This window comes from Homo sapiens, chromosome 6, assembly GCF_000001405.40.
Source record: "Homo sapiens chromosome 6, GRCh38.p14 Primary Assembly".
NCBI classification, from domain to species: domain Eukaryota; kingdom Metazoa; phylum Chordata; class Mammalia; order Primates; family Hominidae; genus Homo; species Homo sapiens.
Window position 1 is genome coordinate 142,845,683 of NC_000006.12, and position 22,016 is coordinate 142,867,698.

Below are 22,016 nucleotides of genomic sequence, written 5' to 3' on the forward strand. Positions count from 1 at the left end.
CAGGCTGCCAGGCTTAAATCAAATGAAGGTCGATGCAATGTCCCCAGAGGAAGCTGTTCAACTCGCCGGGTCGGTTCCCCAGAGCCCTGCCAAGGAGGCTCCTCAGATTGACAGCGCCCTGGCAGAGCTGCTGTCTTCCCCAGGCAGAGAGGCCCTCCCCCGGACAACAAGCTGGGTGCAAACTCGTCTTCCGCAGACACCAAAAGAGAGCACAGCAAAGCTAAGCGACTGGGGACAGCCACTTGTGGCTGAGACAAAGGCAGGCTCCCCCTGCCGCAGGACGATCACTAGGACTGTCAGGCTGTCGAAATGTATATTGCAGACAGGACATCCCTCCTGGCATCCAGTGTGAGCGAAGTCCAGGCCACGGCAACAACAGCCTGGCCTGAGGACAGCCTGCACCACACATCAAAGCCAGAGGCCCTGGGAGGCTGGCCAGCCGCCAAAGACGCCTGAGAGCGGCAGGGGAGTGTGTTGCCTTAGGACAATAGCAAACTGGGACGTGGTAGAGTCTGTAAATTCCAAGCACTGGGGAGGTCTTCTCAGAGATTTTACCCTCTCCTGTCAGGGCTGTGATTTAATTTCCTTTGAAGAAAAAAAAAAAGAAAAAAGAAAAGAATATACATTCCCAAATCTTCTGTCTGCAAAGGCAGACACCACAACGCAAGCTTAATGCACTCTGGTCCTTCCCGGCCAGCGGCCACTGTCTAACACAATACAGCTAAGTGAGATGTGACATTCTCCCGGTCCCCTTAATAGGGCATTAAGTCTAAGGAGTACTTAAGATCATTTAAATGCAAACATCATTGTTCCATTGCTACTAGACTCCCAGATATTTCCCATCAATTCTGTTTAATTAGAGTAGCACCACACGTTAATTATAACCTGACAGTTTTATTGATTTCACAGGGCACATCATACAGTCCCATTTTAGGTACCAAGGACTTAAGGTGAAGCATGAACCTCTCAGTCACAAAGATGACTCAGCCTCTTGGGCTGATGAGGTTCTGATTCTTCTACCAGGAGAGGTTTACCCACTTGCTCAACAGAAATAGTTCAGTAATCATCTTATGTCCTCACTTATTTCACAGCGTTTTGCAAAACAACACATCAAAAACAAACTAAGGAAAAAAAAACCTGTAAGAGTGTAAAAGAAATATCCATCTCCCTCTGTTCTGTGGTCTTAATCTGCAATTCTTAAGGACCAGGATGAGGTGCTGTGAAGGCTACGCAGGTAAAGCTGGCACCAAACAGAAATATGGTGCACTTCTGCCCCTGAAGCGACTGGCCCCACTTTGAGAAGCCATGCTGTAAACATGCTCATTAGAACAGAGAGGACTGGTCAGTTTTCCTTTCAGAGGAAATGAATATGAGTTGAGATCACTCAACTCTAATCCACCCTGTACCTCAGGGTTATACTCCCAGCAGCACATGCTCCACTAAGCCAGCAGTTTGTCATAGCCCAGCGTGTCATCCATAATGGCATGTTGGGGGTGGAATCACTTCCAATTCCTCACTAATCTGGTGCGGGGAATGCCAAGGTACAGAGTTTTACTTGATTGCATAAAACATAGAGCTATTTTCAGCTTCCAAATCATCGTTCTGGCTCTTTCACCAGTCCTAAAGCCATATTACAACCCTTTAAAAACATCTTTTCTATTCGGTTTTCCCTTATTTTAATATAAGCAAACACTTAAAGTAATCCCACTAAGTCTCTGAAATATGAAGCCATGAAATGTTAGAAAAAAAAAAGACGAAAAAGAGTTTAAGAGTTTTACACATATTTGCGATTTAAAATGGTCACTGCTGCTATGGTAGTGGGACTTGAGTTATCTCCAAACTCCTTATAAAAACCCTGGGCAATTAACACTTAGCAGGACTTCGGTGCCTGATGACAAAATCAATTCTGTTATAGTCACACTTCGAAAAATGACTTTGAAGAGTAACAATAAATAATGAAAATTAAACAACTGCTAACTGATATAGGAAGAACTTCAGCTATTTCTGTAATAATTCCACTGGGATTTGTGCTGAACATTATAAAAACAGGATGTTTTGTTTGTTGTTCTTCATAAAAGACTACTGAACCAGTATAAGACTCCAAAATATATGAAGACTACAAATCTACATGAAGTCTACTAATATTAAAAAAAAGCTAAGTGGAATTTTTATTCATGTATTTAACATTTTTGCTCAATGTAAGATGACCTCAGGAAACATGTTTCTTATTTTTATGAAAGCCAAAAGGAAACACAGTTATATAACATAATTCTGCAATGGTTCAGCATCACAGTGCAGAGAACTTAATCCTAAATATAGGACTGTCACAAATCAGTCTTCACTGCTAAGACTTCTTATATTTAACATTAACAACGGATTATCCCATGGTAACCAGATACCTGTTCCATTTAGTTAGAGGCTAATCCTAACAACATAAGGATTCCAATAGCAAACTTTTTTCTAATGTTACCATCAATGAACTGTGATGAAGCTACTGCACCAAGAATGAACTTAATATTAGTGGATTTAGAGATAACTTAAAGTGGTATGATTAGCACACAAATACAGTCTTATCTATGGATGTGGGATGGGGGAAGGTATCACTTCTGTAAATGAAACCATTATTTTTTACTGCTTAAGTAAATGAAAACATTCATATCCTCTTTTCCTGACACACACAGCTGTATTTGGAAGTGTAGAAGAAATAGGGAGGAAGTATGTTTAGGAAAGAATTGCACCTGAATATTTTCCTAAAGGCTGGGCATGGTAGCTCACATCTGTAATCTCAGCACTTTGGGAAGCCAAGGTGGGAAGATTGTCTGAGCCCAGGAGTTCAAGACCAGCCTGAGCAACATAGTGAGACTCTGTCTCTAAAAATAAAAATTAAAAAAAAATTCAACTGGAGCATGGTGCACCTGCAGTCCCAGATACTCAGGTGGCTGAGGTGGGAGGATTGCTTGCATCTGGGAAGTTAAGATTGCAGTGAGCTGTGATTGTGCCACTGCACTCCAGCCTGGGCAACAGATCCAAACACTGTCTCAAAAAAAAAAAAATCTGAAACAAATAGTTGGGCTCTGCTCTGTCCATTCTGATGCTTTTGAAATAGCTGGAAAAGTCACCCAAATAACTGCTGCTGCCATTCCATGAACTGATCTCTATTTAAATCAAGTGAAAGCACCAGTTCAACCCCAAGTCTATGAAAGGAACTAGAGGCTTCTCTTCACTTCTGAGGTCCCAGAGGCTACATCTAATCACTAAGCCTGATTGTTTTATTTTCTGTAACACTCTAAAAAGTATCTTTTTAATATCTAACCACTTATACACTTTTCTACCTGGTGAAATCTATTTTTTCCTATTTCAATATCTATAATTTGCTATTTATGTCATCTGTTAACCTATTCAACAATCATTTACCATGCACCTATCACACACCAGGCACTGGGCTGTATGCAAAGGTACACAAATGTGTTTTATGATCTTAGAGAATACCGGGCTTGGAGGAAGTATGAAAAGTGCTGTAGTACAAATTACCACAGAGTCCATAGGAAAGAGAGGAGGAGTTATTAAGGAAGCTCTGACAGTGGAGACACTTGCAGTGGATCTTCAGTAATCAGTAGACATTTGTGAGGCGGAAAAGAGGAAAACCAAGCTGAAAGGAAATATATTCGGTTTTAGAGCAAACTAAGTTTGAGGTGCCTTAGAAACAACTGGGTAGAAATGTCCAAGTAGACATTTGGATACATAGATGTAGAATCCATGGGAATATGTGAACTGAAAAACTAGTATTGAAGACTATTAGCATCATTAGCAGCTAGAGTGATTCTTTATTTATTTATTTTTTTTTTTTTTTGAGACAAGGTCTTGCTCTATCACCCAGGCTGCAGTGCAGTGGCACGATCAAGGCTCATTGCAGCCTTGACCTCCCAGGCTTAAGCCATCCTCCCACCTCAGCCTCCTGAGCAGCTGGGACCACAGGTGTGTGCTGCCACACCTGGCTAATGTTTTTTGTATTTTTTTGTAGAGACAGGGTTTCACTATGTTGCCCAGGCTGGTCTCAAACTCCTGGGCTCAAGTGATCTGATTGCCTTGGCCTCCCTAAGTGCTGGGACTACAGGTATGAGCCACCACGCCTGGCCTAGAGTGGGTTTCTGTAAAACAGTCTGAAAAGCTACAGAGAGTGGCTTAAGGGTTGAACTTTGGGAAAAGCCTCAAAGACTAGGAAGTGTGCAAAGGGGCTGAGAACAGAGACAGGCCTACTAAGCCACAGCATCACAGAACCAAGTGGCGAAAAAATTAAATGATAAACAGAGTCAGACACAAATCAGGTCAAATAAGTCAAAGACCCAAAAGATGTCACTGAATTTCAAAATTAAGAGGTTATAAATGTTCCTCGTGAAAGCAGGTGGTCGAAACTGTGAAGCAGTTGGGACAGGTAAAGTAGTAGCTAGAAAAGCCATCAGGATTATTGGTTTTATTGTTTGCTTGTTTTCAAGATGGAAGGGATTGGAGCATATTTAAATTTTTCTAGTTGAGAGACCTTTAACAGCTATGGCCCTGAAAAAAAATACAATGTCCTAACAATATTTTACTGGATTAAATTTTGGCCACAGTGGAGAGATAATTATGACTTGATTGTGTTAATATAAAAGTTCAAATTCTCAGCAATTGACTACTAATGATGATATAATGATTTGGGGAGTCTTTAATTGAAGGAATATGCTGCTGTTCTGTCGAATAAATCAATAAGGAATCGCATAACACTGTGGGGAAATCTTGAAAATGAAACTACTAAAAGATAAACTTTGACCATATAATTTTCAAGCTGAACAAAGCTTTAGAGATCATCCACTTAAATCTCTTATTGTGAAACAGATTTAAAATCAATGCAATAATAACAACTTCCACTGAAAAATATCAAAACTAAGTTTAAATTGTGCAAGAAAGAAAATGATTATGACAAAGAGGCTGCCCAAACTACTCTGAGAAACTTTTAAACATTTTATTCAGACATCTAGATGGGAGGGAATTCCTAAGCCTGACAATTATAAGTTATCAGTAAGTCCACCTAGACAATTTCTGAAGAAGCACCCTGAAAGAATTCACTGACTGCTCACGCTCCTAGCACATAATGACTAATTCATCCTGCTCCATCTGGGGTCATACCTCACCGTGGTTCTCACCCTGAACACTGTCGCAGGACAAGAAAACAGTCACTTTGAAAATAGTAAGCAAGAAACCCAACTGAAAAATGTTAGTTTTACAGTCTGGTGGTTTGTGTTGTATGATCATAATGGAAAACCCAGTTTTATTCATGTGATGAAAAATTCAGGAAAAAAAGTGTTTCTTTATAACTTAGGAAATGACTTCTAGATGGTTAGTTTCTGGGAAATATACAAATAATAGAAGCACTTTCATATTCTTTCATAAGTTGAATTTAGAGTTTTCCAACTCCCTTAAGAGGTGAGAAGGAAAAGCAACAACAAGAGGAAGCAACTGTAGCCAGCCTGGAATCAATAAGGCCTAGTAATAGGATTTGGCTCATAGCCAAGAGTGGGGTCCACCTGCTTTCACTGTGGTAAGACTCAGGGTTGAGGCTCTTTTATATACAGACACACAGGTACACCCCAAGCATGATTTAATTTCTCTATAAGATGTAGCAAATAGTTTTGGCAAACTAGACTCTTTAGGCTGCTATGATTTCCACAAAGAGGAATGTTAAAAGTTTGGGCTGACTACTGAAAACCTTAAGGAAATGAAAGATCTAGAAACGGTAATGGAGTTTGAAACAATCATCACAGAGAAAAATAAAAGAAAGCAACATTTACTGAGTATTTTCCCATTTAATCTTTTATGAGGCAGGTACAATTATTACCCTAGCTTACAAAGGACTTGAGGCCCCGAAAGGCTCAGGAACTTGTCTACAGCCTCACTGTAAGTGCTGGAGAGAGTTTTTTAATCCTTTAAGCCTGAGTCTGAACCATCCCTCTTGAAAATAGACATAGTGGCAATGTAAAAAGATACATGGGTTGAAGAAATCTAAATATCCTGCCATGACTGGCACTCAATTTTCAGTTCTAGTCATAATGATTCTGACCTGACAAAAGGATCACCATGCCAAAAGAATGTTTAATGTATTGAACCATTCCTGATTACTCACTATTTGAGCTGGTATGACAGAACCTCACGGTGGAAGAGTTTCAGTGGGGTTCACTCATGTCTTTATACAACAATGATATGCTGCTTTCACACTTAGAACGAAGGTCATTGCTTTAAATTTGGCAAGAAAATCAAAGTCTTTCTTATCCAGCTCAAGAGCATTATTTTACCCAGATCATTGTCCTAATTTACTTTGGCAATAAAAAGTGTTTATTACTATAAAGTAAGGCTAAAATTGATGGGTTTGGGAGACTTTACACACCATGTTCCACTAGGTTAATTTTGGAGGGCATGCCATGCTTTCTATCTTTAAAAAGTATAGTCTATTTCTTCCTTCTTAAAGCCACAGATTTCCCACCAAACTTAAAACTTCAGTCCATTATATTATTTTAAATTTTGTTTTAACTTTATTATTGGGAAATGACTTTATTTAATCTTTCTATCAAGAAGTAGCATTTCGCTTTTTTTAATAAAATGCTCACAATAAACTCTTTTTTTCTCTCATTTATTCAATTATTTATTCAACAAACAATTGTGCATTCCCATAAGCCATGATTCTTGTCTTCATGGAGCTCAGGGGCTAGTGAAGGTCAGACACTGAAAATAGATTGTTACTGTGTGGACCCCATAACAAAAGGCATGCTGAATAATCAATTACATAACAATATTTGAGAAAGGCAGCACTCTTCTAAATTCTTTAAAACTTGGGAGCTAAGTATCCCTCCTATCATGACCTGAAATATAGAGTAATTCTTAAATCCACCACAGATATACTTTATTTCAACAACTCCCAGATGTCTCAGGACACCCTGAACCCAGTTTCAAAACTCATCAGCATAGATGTTTTAGAGATTTCTCCAAAGAAGTCACTGGCCCATCACTATCACATTCTAGTTTAGGTAGACTTAACACTCAATCTAATGAATCAATTTGTGCAGTTTGACAAATTTAGAGTAACAGGGGAAAAATACATAAGATACTCAGAACTGGAAAACCCTCTGAGTATTAGAGTCTTCTGTGTTGTATCTTTCCTAGTCTAAAATGATAAACATTCCTATCTTTGAAAAATTTGATATAAATATTTGTCATTTGATGTAGAAAGTGAGGTATTTTTGTGCTTATCTTTTAATTACTCCAAACTTCTCTTAGTTTAATTGCATACTTGTACAACATATACCTCTTTTCTTACTTTTTCTAGAACCTGCTAAGATTCCAGTTATTTTCTTATTGACTTCCTTCAGTTGGTAGCTAGATCCATAGATTAAGGTATTTTTCTTTTCCTCTCTTGGCAGATTAAGTTCATTTGGCACAGATTTGTACACAAGATCATGTCCAAAAGGAATCCAAGGAAATTACCAGATATCTATTTTTTTTTCCACATCAGAGAAGCAAACCCTAGCTAATCCAGCTTGTCTGCCCTCTGAGCCTGGGGCTTAGTGTGAGAAGTTACACTCCCAGTAGAGAAGGGACTCTAAGCTGGCTACCCAAAGGGTCTCCCTGTGGTTTCGATAAGAATTCACTTGTAACAGGTGCTAGCACCTGTTCTTCCGGCTCCCAGAATAGTTCCTACTTAAAATGAATCATACTCTAACAGTTCACTTTTAAGCTTACTATTTGAAATTTGGAATGTGTTTCCCTCTAAAACCAGTGTCATAAATACTGGTTGGCATGCAAGGCCACCCTTCAAAAGCCTGTATAACCTGATTTAGAATTCGCCTAAGGCAATGTAATAAGAGCAACATAGAACCTACCCACCTTAGATGGCATAGCTTCTTGTCAAATAGTCACACTGAGAAATTGAGTCAATAGGATATGAAACTGCCTTTTCCTACAAGGACCGTAAAAGTCTAGGTGAAACTCTAAGAGGTAAATAACAAAGTAAGAATAGCAAGACACAGATGGGCCAGGGGCATCAGTAGGAAGAATCTCAGTGGCTCTTGTCTTTTGTCAGGGCAGCAGTGGTGGTCCAGGCATTGGTAGCAGCAGAGATGGCAGAAGAATGGAAAAGAAAAGAGGGCAGGGAAAATAAGTGAATCAGAAGCTAGAGCAGCCTTTGAAAAGGGAGTGTCCTAGAATTGAGGGCAAGAGAATTGAGGAAGAGAAGGGAATTCCTACCACAAGGCAACCGGGGAATTCCCTGGTTGGGGTTGCCATTCACTCTGTCACTGACTGGGAATATTCACTGTTTAGTCACATAATGTTCTCAGTCTTTGTTTCTTACTCTGGTTTCTTAAATTCAAGCTCTGTGTTGTTCATAAAAACCCGGTTCAGGCTGGTGGCTGTGCCATCCCCCTCAGATTTATTGTTAGCCTGTGGTAGTTCTCAATTAGGGTGATTCTGCCCCCTTAAGAGACACTAGGCAATGTCTGGGAGTTCTTTCTGGTTGCCAAGACTGGGAGTGGGAAGGGGTATGCTATTGTACCCTGGTGGGTAGAGGCCAGGGATGCTGGTAAGTATTCTACAATGCACAGGATAGTCGCCCACAACAAAGACTTATCTGGCTCCAAATGCCTAACCATGCTGGAGCTAAGAAAACCGGTAACATTGTAACTCTGCTGCAATAACTTTTTGGTACATGTCACTAGGCTCCTGATGTTTAAGCAAGTGATTATAACAAAAATCCTTTAGACTAATTGTATTACTCAAACTTCATCCTAAAGATCGTGCTCAACCAAGAGAAATTCTACAAAAAAACCCATAGTATTCTTCAGAATTACAAAGTGTGACATTTGTTTTTTAATTGAAGATGTCCAATCAAGACAGCCGAACTTTAGGAGGCTGGCAGAAAGGGCACGGGATGAACTTGGTATCACCTGAATGTAACTGAAATTTTCCAGGGAAGGCACTGCACAAACTCCTCTGTGAATGTGAACCCTGCCACCAATGCCACATCCTGCTTCTTAAGCTTTTCCATAAACAGCAGCTGTATTCCTCCCCAAGCATCAAATGACAACCCAGGAACATGCACACGTTCCTGAAATGCTCGCAGCCACCCAGTATTAAAGCAATAATCTCCCCCAGGGAAAAGTCCTACTGGGCCGGATGTAGGAAAAAGAATGAAAGCAGGCACAGCTTTCAGGTCCACTCCACCACAAATGACTCCATGACCCGGGCAAGGAACGTTAAGTAACTTCTTTCTGGTCCTTTTTTTCCTCAACTAAAAGCAGAAAAAGTTTGGCTTAGTCATCTGCAACTTCACTTTCAGTTCTCACCACCATGCTGGTTTTCTTCCCAAAAGGTAAAGAGAAGGGAATTGGCTCCAAAGAAAGTAGGTAAGAGGGAGCTTATGAAACCCGCTTCATTAAGGGTCCCAGTCACATGGAGTGTCTGTGGGCTACAATAGATGAACCACCCACGTGGTAAGTTCACCCACAAGAGCAACTTTTTTGAACACAGGCAAAAGCTGACCCCAAGCTTGATAGGCGAAGTCTCCACTGAGCTCCAGGCCACATGAGAAATGCTGACTGTGAGGATGAAGGACCAATCTTTGTGTGTGCACAGCAGGGAAAGGACTAATCATTCCACACTGGCCTCTTCCGCTACAACCTTCTGTACAAGTAACCGTCATCCCCAGAGCACCATCTTATCATTAGGAAGGACAGAAGAAGAAGAGTACAGTGTGTTTTAAACTGTCTTTGTGTTATAATAAAAATCACAAACAAAAACAAAATGGGCACAAACAGTATGAATTTGAGGAGCCTTTAATTTTAATGGGCAAATACTTAATGTATTAATAACCACGTGGTAGAAACCAAAATTAGTTCTGGGGAACCTCTCAACTATACTGAATTATCTGCTGAGATAGGTTTTGTTCATGGATCTACAATAAGAAAGGAATCTGTTTTCCTGAGTCTCCCCACTGAGTTTTTTATGCAGTGCTTCTGTTCATATGCTTAAGTGAGCCATTTAAAAGGAAGAGTGTCAACGTTGGACTCAGGCTTTACTGGTATGAAAGTGTAAAATTATATTTGTATCCACAGATTTCCAAAATCTCAGTATGCAAACTTATTAAAAATACACTATGGTGGAGGCATATATAAGAAGTGAAAGTATTCTTTCACTTATTTCTTATTACTGCCAGTTCAACATTATCACAAGCTCACAGGGCTATGTTTTCCCAACTGAAACACCAGGATGTTAATGTGTCTGAAATTTGAGACCTTCTGATAAATTATGCTTGTTTGCTGGTTTTGTTGTTTTTTGGTGTGTTTGTTTTCAGTAAAAGCTGGCACTTTATAAAATATCTGTCTTCAGTATTTGACAACGCTTGACAACCATTCTCTCGTTACTTTTTACCACATCCTGGTAAGGGGGAAATGGCAGGTAACTGCATCGCTTTTCACTAAAAAACAGACAGCAAGGGGTTAAAAAAAAAAAGAAAAGGAGAATTTATGTCTCCCAGTTCCACCTACTGCACCACTTTAATATCCAGGATTCTCCCCAAGCCATTCCCAGAGAAAAAAGTGAAAAGAATCTCCTTTGACTTGCTTGGGTCACTGCCCCCAAGACACTGAAGACTCAAAGATACTGAAGACTTCAATGTACAATACATTGGTGGTGAAACTAAAAGTCATATGCAAGGAGTTGACTCCCCTCTCACTGCAAATAATTCTAACATGACCGATGTGCTACAGAAATCAATAGCAGTAATGACTACCTTTTTTGGAACTGCCTCAGCAGTCAGCTGGAGAGGGGGCCTTGCTAAGCCCAGGCACACTGCCTGGATCAAGCACTGAAATCAAGCTTCACAAAAGAGAAGCGTGAGTAATTTACTTATTAAAGAGATAACTGTAAAGTCTGATACAAACAGACAAGCGTAAAGCCTTCAATGCACAAACCAAATGCTTGGCTTGGAGACCATAAAATGCAATCAGCAATGAAATCTAGGTTATATCACTCAACTTTCAAAAGTCTAATGCCCCTTTTTATCCTTAGAAAGATGACACAAAGAAATGACCTGTGAGGGAGACTTCTGGTTAGCAGGGGCTCCCCAAAGACACTGAGCCCACAGCAGGAAGTGGAGGGGAAACCTCAGTGACTGGTCCGAGACCAACCTGGACTTCCGTGTAAGGTACAATGCAGATAAAGGGGATTACTGTACTTCAAGTGGGTTCTGAAGCATTCTACATTATTCAAAAGGACAAAAATCTAGTCAGGTGTTGCCCAAATGGTCTCCTCTGTGATCATTTTTCTCATGTTGTTCAGAAACGTAGTGGTGATAGTGCATTTGTGAGACTCTGTGGCCAGGAAACAACATCTCTGTAACCCCAATTTTAAAATCATGACTTCACTGTCACCAACCAGCGAATGCCAAAAATAAAAAGGTAGAAACATCTAAAACGCTGTTAGAAAGTGAAGCTTGAGTTCATGAGCAAATTAGAAAAAAAAAAAAAGTCATTTGCCATCAGATGTTGTCTGTCAACTTAAAAAAAAATCCAAATAAAAAGAGAATTCAAACAGTTCTTCTACAATAAGCTATTGTATAGCCCCTAGATCTAAGTCATTCACAACTCCCGGAAATAACTGCATATTCGCCAAATGCTCTTATTTTGTATGTTCTCACGGGGTTTCAGGACTTGTGCAAATTGTTTTCCAAGCACCATCCGGCCATAATGACCAGGTTAGAACTGATAATTATGCCTGCCTGTCTATAGGTTTGTCAGCTAAAGAAATCCACAGACGGCTGCATCATGAGCAGAATTCTACTTCGGGTGCAGCTGCGCTGACCACACTGCATTAGAAAAACAACCCTCTTTGCAATAACCAGTTTTGGGCATCACTGGTTAAAAAAGACTAGTTTCCTGTTTTTCTCCAAAACTTCAGAGTGTGGGTATTGCTATTTTTTACCCCACCCACACATTTTTCTTTTTAATTGTTGAAGATTAGGTGCTGTAAACACCTAATCATGAGCATTTCTTTATATTAAAACTCCAGGTTTAATTTTAGGTCGGATTTGTTCTTTCCACACGGGGACTCCCCTTTGTTAAGACTTGTGTGGCTTCTCCTGCGGGCGGGGGGAAGCCACGGGGCTGCGGGCTGCTGTCTAGGAGGGGCTGGGGTCGGGTCTTGGGTCTGGGAACTTATCTATGGCCCAGTGTTGCCCCAGGCAGCTGTCCCCCACCATTGGCTTCCTGATGGCCCAGCTATGCATGGTCCCCGGCAGGGATGCTGCAGCTGACCTAGGGCGACAGGTGGTTGGGGGAAGAGAGGCTGTTCCCCCTAGAAGAGTATCTCAACCCAGGCTTGGGAAACAGCCCTTACTGATGAAGGCTGGGGGACTAACAGTGACATAAAGCATCAAGATCCCAGACATATCATCTTATTTCTGTTTATACTATGCCGTTTCTCTTCCTCACTTTGACATGTTATTTCCTTTCTTTCAAGAGGAGTTTGAAGTATATGAAGGCAGTGCACACTGTAGCAGGGCTGCTCCTGGTGCCTGACCCCCTCACTTCACTCTGGCCCCTCTGCAAATGTCACCTCCTTGCAGATCCCCCCTCTCCCCTACCTAATTAACACACAGGCATGAGTGCTGGGCAGGATGATAAATATCTGTCTCCCACACTGAATAGAAGCTCTCAAAGGAGGCAGCACTGCTCTGTTCACTCCTATAGCCCCAGTATCCTAAACAGTGCCTGGAAAATAACAAGTGTTTGATTAATATTTCTTGAGAATAAATGCCCCCCTCCCTTATCTGCTTCATCTTTTATCACACCTCCTCTCACCTGCCCTCTTATTTTTTTATTTTTTAATTAAATAAATTTTTTTTTGAGATGGAGTTTCACTCTCGTTGCCCAGGCTGGAGTGCAATGACACGATCTCGGCTCACTGCAACCTCTGCTTCCCAGGTTCAAGCAATTCTCCTGCCTCAGCCTCCCAAGTAGCTGGGATTACAGGTGCCCACCGCTACGCCTGGCTGATTTTTTTGTATTTTTAGTAGACACGGGGTTTCACCATGTTGGCCAGGCTGGTCTCAAACTCCTGACCTCCAGTGATCCACCCACTTTGACCTCCCAAAGTGCTGGGATTACAGGTGTGAGCCACCCTGCCCAGCCCTCTCACCTGATCTCTTGGGCCCACCTCTCTGGAAACCCTCATTTACTATACTGCAGTTTGTTTACATATGCCTTTTTTATAAACCATAAACTCGTGGAGCTTGAGGACTGGGCTCAGCACACCTGGCACATAACAAGTGCTCAATAAACATTTGATGGGTGTTGTTAAATGAATCATTTGAGATTAGCCACTTTGAAGGCAGGAACTATGTAGATACTGTAGAAACACATTCTGTCTCTATTTTTTTTAACCAATACTATAACTTTTGATCCCTACAAGAAAAGTCTGAGGCATTTCCTCAGCCAACAGTATATGCTTAAAGGCATAGCAATAAGACTTACTCTGGGAGGATCACTTGAGCCCAGGAGTTCGAGACCAGCCTGGGCAACAAAGGGAGACTCCGTCTCTACAAAAAATTAAAAAATGTGTGATGGCACATGCCTGTAGTCCTTGCTATTTGGGAGGCTGAGATGGGAGGATCACTTCAGCCCAGGAGGTCGGGGCTGCAGTGAGCTATGATCCTGCCATTGCACTCCAGCCTGGGCAACAGAGCAAGACCCAGTCTCAAAAAAAAAAAAAGAAAGAAAGAAAGAAAAGAATCCACATAAGCTTGTCGAAACAAAGACTAGAGAAATAAAAACTTAAAACGATAAATGAGGCAGGACGCGGTGGCTCATGTCAGTAATCCCAGCACTTTGGGAGGCCAAGGTGGGTGGATCATCTGAGGTCAGGAGCTCAAGACCAGTCTGGCTAACATGGCGAAACACTGTCTCTACTAAAAGTAAAAAAATTAGCCGGGCATGGTGGTGCACACCTGTAATCCTAGCTACTTGGGAGGCTGAGGCAAGAGAATCACTTGAACCTGGGAGGCAGATGTTGCAGTGAGTCAAGATCACACCATTGCACTCCAGTCTGGGCAATAAGAGTGAAACTCCGTCTCAAAAAAAAAAAAAAAAAAAAGGAAAGAAAGAAAGAAAAAGAAAAAAAAGAAAAGAAAATGATAAAAGAAGTGTTTATCACTGTACTGCTATGCAAGAAGTTGAGGTAATATCCTTTGAAAGTTCCTGAAAAGAAAGAATTCTAAGCAAAATCAAAATCTTCATTTTTGTTAAAGTTCACAGTAGGGAAAGTGTTAAATCTTTTTTTCTCCTGTAAGTTCTCCTCTTAAAGGAAAGACAGAAATTCAGCAAAGATCTCTATCCCCTCGGACCTCCAACATTTTTCTGAACTGTAAAAAAGATAAGAAAAAAACTGAGCCACAATCACCCTTGTATGTTATGTACATGTATTGACTTCATATTGCTCCCATTCATGTTAAGAAGAACCCAGGTGATAAAAACTTAAATGAACTCCTGATGAAAGGAAAATATATGTATATTTTATCATTTGTTTCAAGAATTTAAATAAATTATTAATATGTACATTCATACTATAAAGCTCTACAACAGTGGTCCCCAACCTTTTGGGCACCAGGGACTGGTTTCGTGGAAGACAATTTTTCCATGGACTGGCGGCAGGCAGGGGGTTGGGAAGACTGAAGTGCACTGCATGTATTGTACACTTTATTTCTATTATTAGTACACTGTAATAATGAAATAATTTTACAACTCACCATAATATAGAATCTGTGGGAGCCCTGAGCTTGTTTTCCTGCAGGAAAACTAGATGGTCCTATCTGGGGGTGATGGGAGACAGTGACAGATCATCATGCATTAGATTCTCTTTGGGCAAGAGACCTAGATCCCTGGCATGCGCAGTTCACAATAGGGTTCACGCTTCTGTGAGAATCTCATGCCACTGCTGATATGACAGGAGGCGGAGCTCAAGTGGTAATGCTCGCTCACCTCCACTTACCTCCTGCTGTGCAGCAGTTCCTAACAGCCAACAGACCACTAGTGATCCGTAGCCCAGGTACTGGGACCCCTGCTTTACAGGCTATCCATTGCTGCACAAATTTTGTAGTAGCTTTATTCCGCACAAATTCTGCAACTTGTCTAAGCAATAGACTTTTTAAAATGAGAGGAAGCTTCTTTAATTCCCATGTGCCTTATTTAATGTTGGAAAAACTAAAAAAGAAAGAGAAGTTAAGTCAACTATCATTTCACAGAAGACACAGATCTATTTTCAAGGAAGTTAAAATCTACTCAGACAGTATACGAACATGCATACATCAGATAGCAGAAACATCACAACAGAACGACATGCCAGCAAGTAACACCTGAAGACAATACTCTCAGCATATTCAAATGCTGAGGCTCATTCACAAAGGAAAATGCAGGCTAGAATAATAGACCTCTTTGGTTCTGTACGTTTCTAAATAACATAATCATTGTCTTATATATTATTACCAAGTAGCAGTCTTTCCCCATTCATTGACAAATCAATTGGAATGGCCTTCCCCTGTATGATTCATACATAAAATGAAATTTACTAATAATGAGAAGTTTTGACATAGGTACTAATGGCTTGAGATGAATAAACCAGATTTTTATATATGAAAAACATATTGTCTCCTCCCATGGAAACCAGAGCTGTGAGGCAATAACATTGGAGGAACTATAAGCAAAATGCCAGAGCAAAGAAGTAATTCTATTACTTGAAGGTATCCTTGGATACAGTAGAATAGCACCATATACTAACAGAATTTATTTTAAACCCACATACACATTTTTCCCATCCGACTGTTGGTAAAAGGTAATGAGTATGAAACAGTAATATCCCAAATTTAACACTCCAAAAGAATCTGTTTGGGCTTTCTTTCCAAATCATCAAGTAAATGCCCTTAAAATTTGCCCTCTCCCTCCAAACAATTTAATGTCATCTAAGTTCAAAGTTGTCAGTCCCACACTTTCAAATTATAAATAGATAAAACTCAGTGTATGGAACTTCTGTTTAGAAAAGGATTCCATTTCAAAGCGGGCTCCTAAGAAAGAAATGGTAGGTAAGCACACCAGTCCGGGTGGAAGCCTTACTAGAGATTAGAATTTGGCCCACCTGCAAGAACAGATGGCTATTCTGGACAGCTGCAGGAAGATGGGGGAAATAGCTTGAGGGCTACTGATTGCTGTAATAATTAAAACCAACAACAATGACAAAGTGGCACTTGAAGTTTTATACCGTTACTTAAATTTTTTTTCAGGGAAATTTAGGCTTATAAAGTTAGAGTGGCACATCAGCCCAGCAGTTTGTTAAGACTCTATTATCAATCTTTTATACTGGAATCTGTTAGCAGCCCTGCATTCTCTTTTTACACTGTAGAGAATAAACATTAATACCCAAAACGTGTGTTTGACTAACATATTTACAAGAATAAAGCAATGTATTGTACTAGATTCCAGATGTGAAAGATAAGTGTCACTCCTTCAGACAATTTCTCCCAATTTCTCCTAACTTGACAGTTTCATATTGCATTTGCTACATTAGCAAATCTATTATATATTATGTAATACATCTATTATATATGTAATATGTAATACATATAATCGATTACATGTATTACATATTTTATAATACATATAATCGATTACATGTATCATATATTTTATAATACATATAATCGATTATATGTATCATATATTTTATAATACATATAATCGATTATATGTATCATATATTTTATAATACATATAATCGATTATGTGTATCATATATTTTATAATACACATAATCGATTATGTGTATCATATATTTTATAATACATATAATCGATTCATAATCGATTATATGTATTATATATTTTATGAAATGTAATATATATTGCATATATTATATATTGTGTACTATATCTATTACATTTAATTATATATGTAACTATATATTATACATTACATATATTATGTAATTATATATTATACATTACATATATTATGTAATATATTATATGTAATTATATTACATATAATATATTTAGATATCATATATATTTTTATATAATATATAAATTATATATATTTATTTATATATAATATATAAATATCTATTATATGTATATATTGCATATAATAGATTATATGTATTATATAAAATGTAATATATTGTACTTTACATATAATATAATATATATTGTGTACTATATTATATGTAATATATAATATGATATATAATTACATATATTATATATTACATACAATATGTAATATATATTACATAATATATTATATATTATGTAATATATGTAATTATATGTAATATATAATTACATATAATAAATATATTACATAATATATAATAGATTTGCTAATGTAGCAAATGCAATATATAAAAAAGGCAAGAACAGGTTCTGTTGCATTTTTTTTAATAAATTCCCTGTTCACAGCTCCAGAGTACACCACAAAATTTAATATAAAACCTCTTATAACAAAACTATATGTTAAAATAAACTACCAGTTATAGTAGTTTGTGTTACTTTAATGTAAATCCTAGATACAAACCAAATCTTTTGTATCTGCCTTGTCCAATGTTCTTGACATTAACACATTAAGACTGTTTTTATTTCAAAATCTCAGATTCTTTTGGAAATTACAAATTAACTTCTTTAAATTACTAATGACTATTAACAATTACTATACAAAAAATAGCTTTTCTAAGATATTGCTTTCTGAAGAATCAAGGCATATCTGATAAAATATTACAAAATATTTCTAAAGACAGGACACGCAAATATCAAGTTATGAATTTTTTAAGAGATTTAATTGAGTTCTCAGAAAGAAAGAGGAAATAAAATAAGTTTAGAGAAGAGGTCAAATTCAATAGTAAATGTCATGCCAGGTTTAAAGTAAATGAAAAATACCAAAATCTTCACAATACCTCACATCTACATTCATCTAACTACGCTTTTGCATATTGCACATTTTGAGGTCCCTGCTCTGTATGAATCTCTCGGACAGAGATTAGGATCCCCCAAGGAGTAAGACACACTTCTTTCTGTGGGAAAGCTCACATTCCAGTGAGCACTGATTCAAGGAATATTTGTAGTCCACAGGTCCCAAAAACACACTTATAAGCAAAATCTTTATTTAAATCTCATGCTTATTATTTTATGTAGCTTTGGTTCCATGTGGAGAAATGTTTATACTGCTGTAAACAAAGATCGTGTTAAGAGGATATGTGTGTGTTAGCAATTTTCTAATTAAATGTGCATGATTTACCTTTGCCCCTACCATTGGAAAGACCACCCAGTAAGCAGCCAAGCCAGCAAGAGGGCTGTAGGGGGTGTCCTTTCTTTCCTCTCTGCTACCCTTGTTGAGTATTTTACTCTTTTGTCTATCTCTCCCCCTCAGCCCAGCAGCCTTGAACTAAAACCTGCCTTGGCTCACTCTCTGTATTTCACCTCCTGCTCAACTCCCAGTCCCATCACCAGCAGCCTACAGGAGTGTCACCTGGAGCCTGGAGGTCCCTTTAACCAAGAATTCTAGGAACAGCCTAGAAACGGAGGGTAAAGTGCTGCTCTCACAATAGCAGAAAGAGCTGTGTTCCTCAACATCACAGCTTATCACTCAGAATGAAGTTTTCCAAAGAAACTGACATCCACATTTTAACTTCTTAACTATTACTAATACTTCAAGTACACTACAGGTCAACTCAGCTTTTGTGACTTAGCGAAAAATAATAAATATTAATATGAAAACTGTTTATACGTTTAGGATATTGTACATGCACATAGAGGAACAAAGAAAACTGGAGTCTACACAAGACACTTGTTCACCCAATAATTTTTTGAGCACCTAATAACTTGAAGCTATATACATTTGCTATTACATAACAGTTAAATGCCTTTATTGCCTTTCTTTTTAAGGATTGCTTCTGAGAATTAGAGCCTTTCATTCTACTCATCCTCCAAAATAATAAACACAGGGTAGGAAAAATTCACTGCACAAATCTTTCACTCACATGGATGACACTAAATCATATCCCTCAGAATTCTCCTTTCCTTGAAGGTCCTAACCCTGTAAGAATTCATATAGCCAACCAATTCCATTACAAACTGCAAAGACCTCCCAAGGGGCTGAAACACCTATCCAAGTCATCAATTCTCACATAACAAAAGTTAACTATGTCTATATCTGTGTCTATCTACCTATATGTGCTAGCACTTAGAATTCAAAAACAGCTTTTCAAAAATAGTTTCCTCCAGCAAGAGATTTATTACAGCCTATTTTACTTGGCCATGTGAATTTTGTTTTTGTTTTTGTTGTGGTTGCTTTTTTGTTCTTTAATAAGAAAATAAGTCTCTTGATAGCTACTATTGCTCCAGGAAAACCAAATCTCTTCTGAATGATTCCAGATATCCAATATGCTGCCATTTTTATACTCCAAAAGAGAATTTGGATAGCTATGTATAACCCATGAATTCAAATTTTGTTTTCTATTGTGCTTCTAATTGCTTATTCAGTTAGGATGTGGGATGATGCACATTAATGCTGTCAGGAGCATTTTAAGAAAATGCTGAGTGAAAGACATAAAAATCCTAATTTCATTAAAAATTAGCCAAAAGACACATTAGGGTTATGCTACCAACTAGTGAAGGTCTGAAACTGAGAAGAAAAAAAAAAAGGAAACACTTTAAGGAATAATGTTACCAGTACCTTTTTCTTTTACTTGGTTCAAAATCCCTGCATAATTAATACAGTAATACTTCATAAATGCCTACGAACGTACCACCTCTTCTCTCTTGTAGTTTAATTAGGTGATTGACTTCAGGCATACTATAAATTATAATGACATTTTAATTACTTTTTTAATGTGCACACTTAAAAGATTTATAAACAGGAATAGAACAGCCCAGTACATTGAAAAGAGGCACACCAAATGAAATGAAGCACACGACCTAGGATGATGGCAGGCAGACGATTTCTAGAAGATAGAGGTGAACCAGAAAGCGTTTCGCATGCTTCAGTAAACATCAGCTCTACTGCCTTGGGACGAGTTATGAACAACCTATACAAGCTTTTTAATAATCTTAACTTACAAGGAAGGAGCTGGATCCCTCTGTCAGTTACACTTCTAGGCCATCCCAAGACAGCCTCTTCTTACAGTGAAAAAGCACAGACTTTTGAGGATCAGACCTTGGTTCGAATCCTTCCTTTACCACTGGCCAGCTGGATGACCTTGACAAAATTAACCTCTCTAGGCTTTGAGTTCCTCATTTGTAAAATTTGTAAATGGAAGAAAATACCTGTTTTGGAGGGCTGTGGTGGAAATTAAATTAGGTAAGCAGCATGCTGCAACTGGTGAAGAGGCAAGCTCTAAATCAGACTTTCTGAATTCTAATCCTGGCTCTGCCTCTAATGCCCTCTAGAACCTTGGGCAAGTTATTTAGTTTCCTGCCTCCTTTCCCTCAACTGTAAAATGAGGATAATATCAGCAACAGCCTTGAAAACTTGTTGAGAACCTAAATAAGTTAATACACAGAAAGCATTCCTACCTGGCACACAGTAAGTGCTCAATAGATGTTAGCTACTAATAAATCACTGAGCATAATCATTGATGCTCAATAATACTTGGCCATACTTAATTTTTCTTCCTTTTCTACAACCCTTATTTCCCATTAGTAGACAGTTCCTGAAATTCCACATCTGCTGTGAAATTTTCTTGTAGCGTTAGGTCAGTGCTAACTCCTAACTCCTTTATTACCTCTTTCTCCCATGTATGTAGATCCATGTCAAAGTGCCTACCTTTAATTTTAAGTTTCTATACCATGAGCATTTAGTCTGGGAGATTCTCTTTATAAGGCAGAATAGTAATTCCAAAAGAAATAGGTACTTTGATGCTAAGGACAACGAGGAGAATTACTGGGAAAAGGATAAATATATAAAGCTGTGGAAAGGGCTTTCTCTTTATCTTTGAGGTCGGTCTCTCCCTTAGTTGATCTGACCACATCAGGATTTCATTTTACTCTAATGGGGTGAAAGTGCAATGAGCCTCAGGCCAATGTGGCTACTTACCCCTTTCTAACTGCTAAAATACAATTTCCCTTTGCCATTAACTATCTTTATAAAAAGCGAAAAAGAAAATAAAAATTAAGCTATAATCTTCCAGTGGGAATTTTCAGTCCTCCCTGTGGTAAACTGGTGAACAGGAGAAGTTGACAAAGGGTAAGGATCCAGAGGGTTATAAGAAATCTTAGGTAGAGAGGTACTGACTCCAGTATTTCCAACCTGCTCTGGGTAAGTATGGTGGTAGAATTCTTGTAATAAATAATTGGACGTGTGTGTTAGTGTGAATATTTCTTTTAATCCAAATACACTTATTAGGAAGCATCACTGTCTATATCAGAAAACAAGGATTTTACTCTTTTGCTATTAGGTATTTCATAGTCTTTTTTTTTCTTTGCATGCTATTAAGTATCAAGTTTTGTGTTAATAACTTTACAGGAAGGCTGTGGCCAAACCTGGTGAAGACTACACATCAGTGGTCTTTCTTATTATACAAGCCAGGCAATCATATATATACTCAACCAGATTGTATTAACTATCAGTGGTATTTATCATCATGGCATCTAATCTACTATACATTTGGTCAAAGATAAAAAAGTATCTGGCTTGAAGTGCCTTCTACAAGCCAGTTGTTATCGTTACAGATTGATTGCAACAGATATGCTTTTGGTACACAGAATCTGAACACATTATCTCTGACTCTTCCTCCACCCACTTCAGTGACAGCTTTGGTCAGCAACAGCTGCAGCTGATATATTACTCTACTTGTTTAAGAAAGTGACATAAATACAGAGACGAGATGACATAAAGCTGTGAATGTTGGACATGGCTCTTATAAAGTTTTCCTGAGCCAATCAAAAAAACAGGATA

General features: G+C 38.5%; 1 protein-coding gene across 14 annotated transcripts in view, besides 4 other annotated features; it reads right to left on the reverse strand.

Annotated features, from left to right (window-relative positions):
- HIVEP2 (HIVEP zinc finger 2) overlaps positions 1-22,016 on the reverse strand; it is a 194,265-nt gene that overhangs the window by 94,214 nt on the left and 78,035 nt on the right. The window contains exon 1 of one of the 14 annotated variants that reach the window (XM_047418707.1): positions 1-22,016. This exon is cut by the window's right edge and continues 17,855 nt beyond it. The exons of the other annotated variants lie outside the window; for them this stretch is intronic. The gene's annotated coding sequence lies outside the window, so the exon portion shown is untranslated. 14 annotated transcript variants of the gene reach the window in all.
- Positions 307-1,000: an enhancer, noted in NCBI's record as "NANOG-H3K27ac-H3K4me1 hESC enhancer chr6:143167126-143167819 (GRCh37/hg19 assembly coordinates)". NCBI's record gives its function as "activates a minimal SCP1, AML or CMV promoter by ChIP-STARR-seq in primed H9 embryonic stem cells {active_cell/tissue: H9 hESC(primed)}" and the evidence as "EXISTENCE:reporter gene assay evidence [ECO:0000049][PMID:30033119]".
- Positions 1,057-1,106: an enhancer, noted in NCBI's record as "active region_25182". NCBI's record gives its function as "activates an Ori minimal core promoter by ATAC-STARR-seq in GM12878 lymphoblastoid cells {active_cell/tissue: GM12878}" and the evidence as "EXISTENCE:reporter gene assay evidence [ECO:0000049][PMID:35858748]".
- Positions 2,453-2,522: an enhancer, noted in NCBI's record as "active region_25183". NCBI's record gives its function as "activates an Ori minimal core promoter by ATAC-STARR-seq in GM12878 lymphoblastoid cells {active_cell/tissue: GM12878}" and the evidence as "EXISTENCE:reporter gene assay evidence [ECO:0000049][PMID:35858748]".
- Positions 3,093-3,192: an enhancer, noted in NCBI's record as "active region_25184". NCBI's record gives its function as "activates an Ori minimal core promoter by ATAC-STARR-seq in GM12878 lymphoblastoid cells {active_cell/tissue: GM12878}" and the evidence as "EXISTENCE:reporter gene assay evidence [ECO:0000049][PMID:35858748]".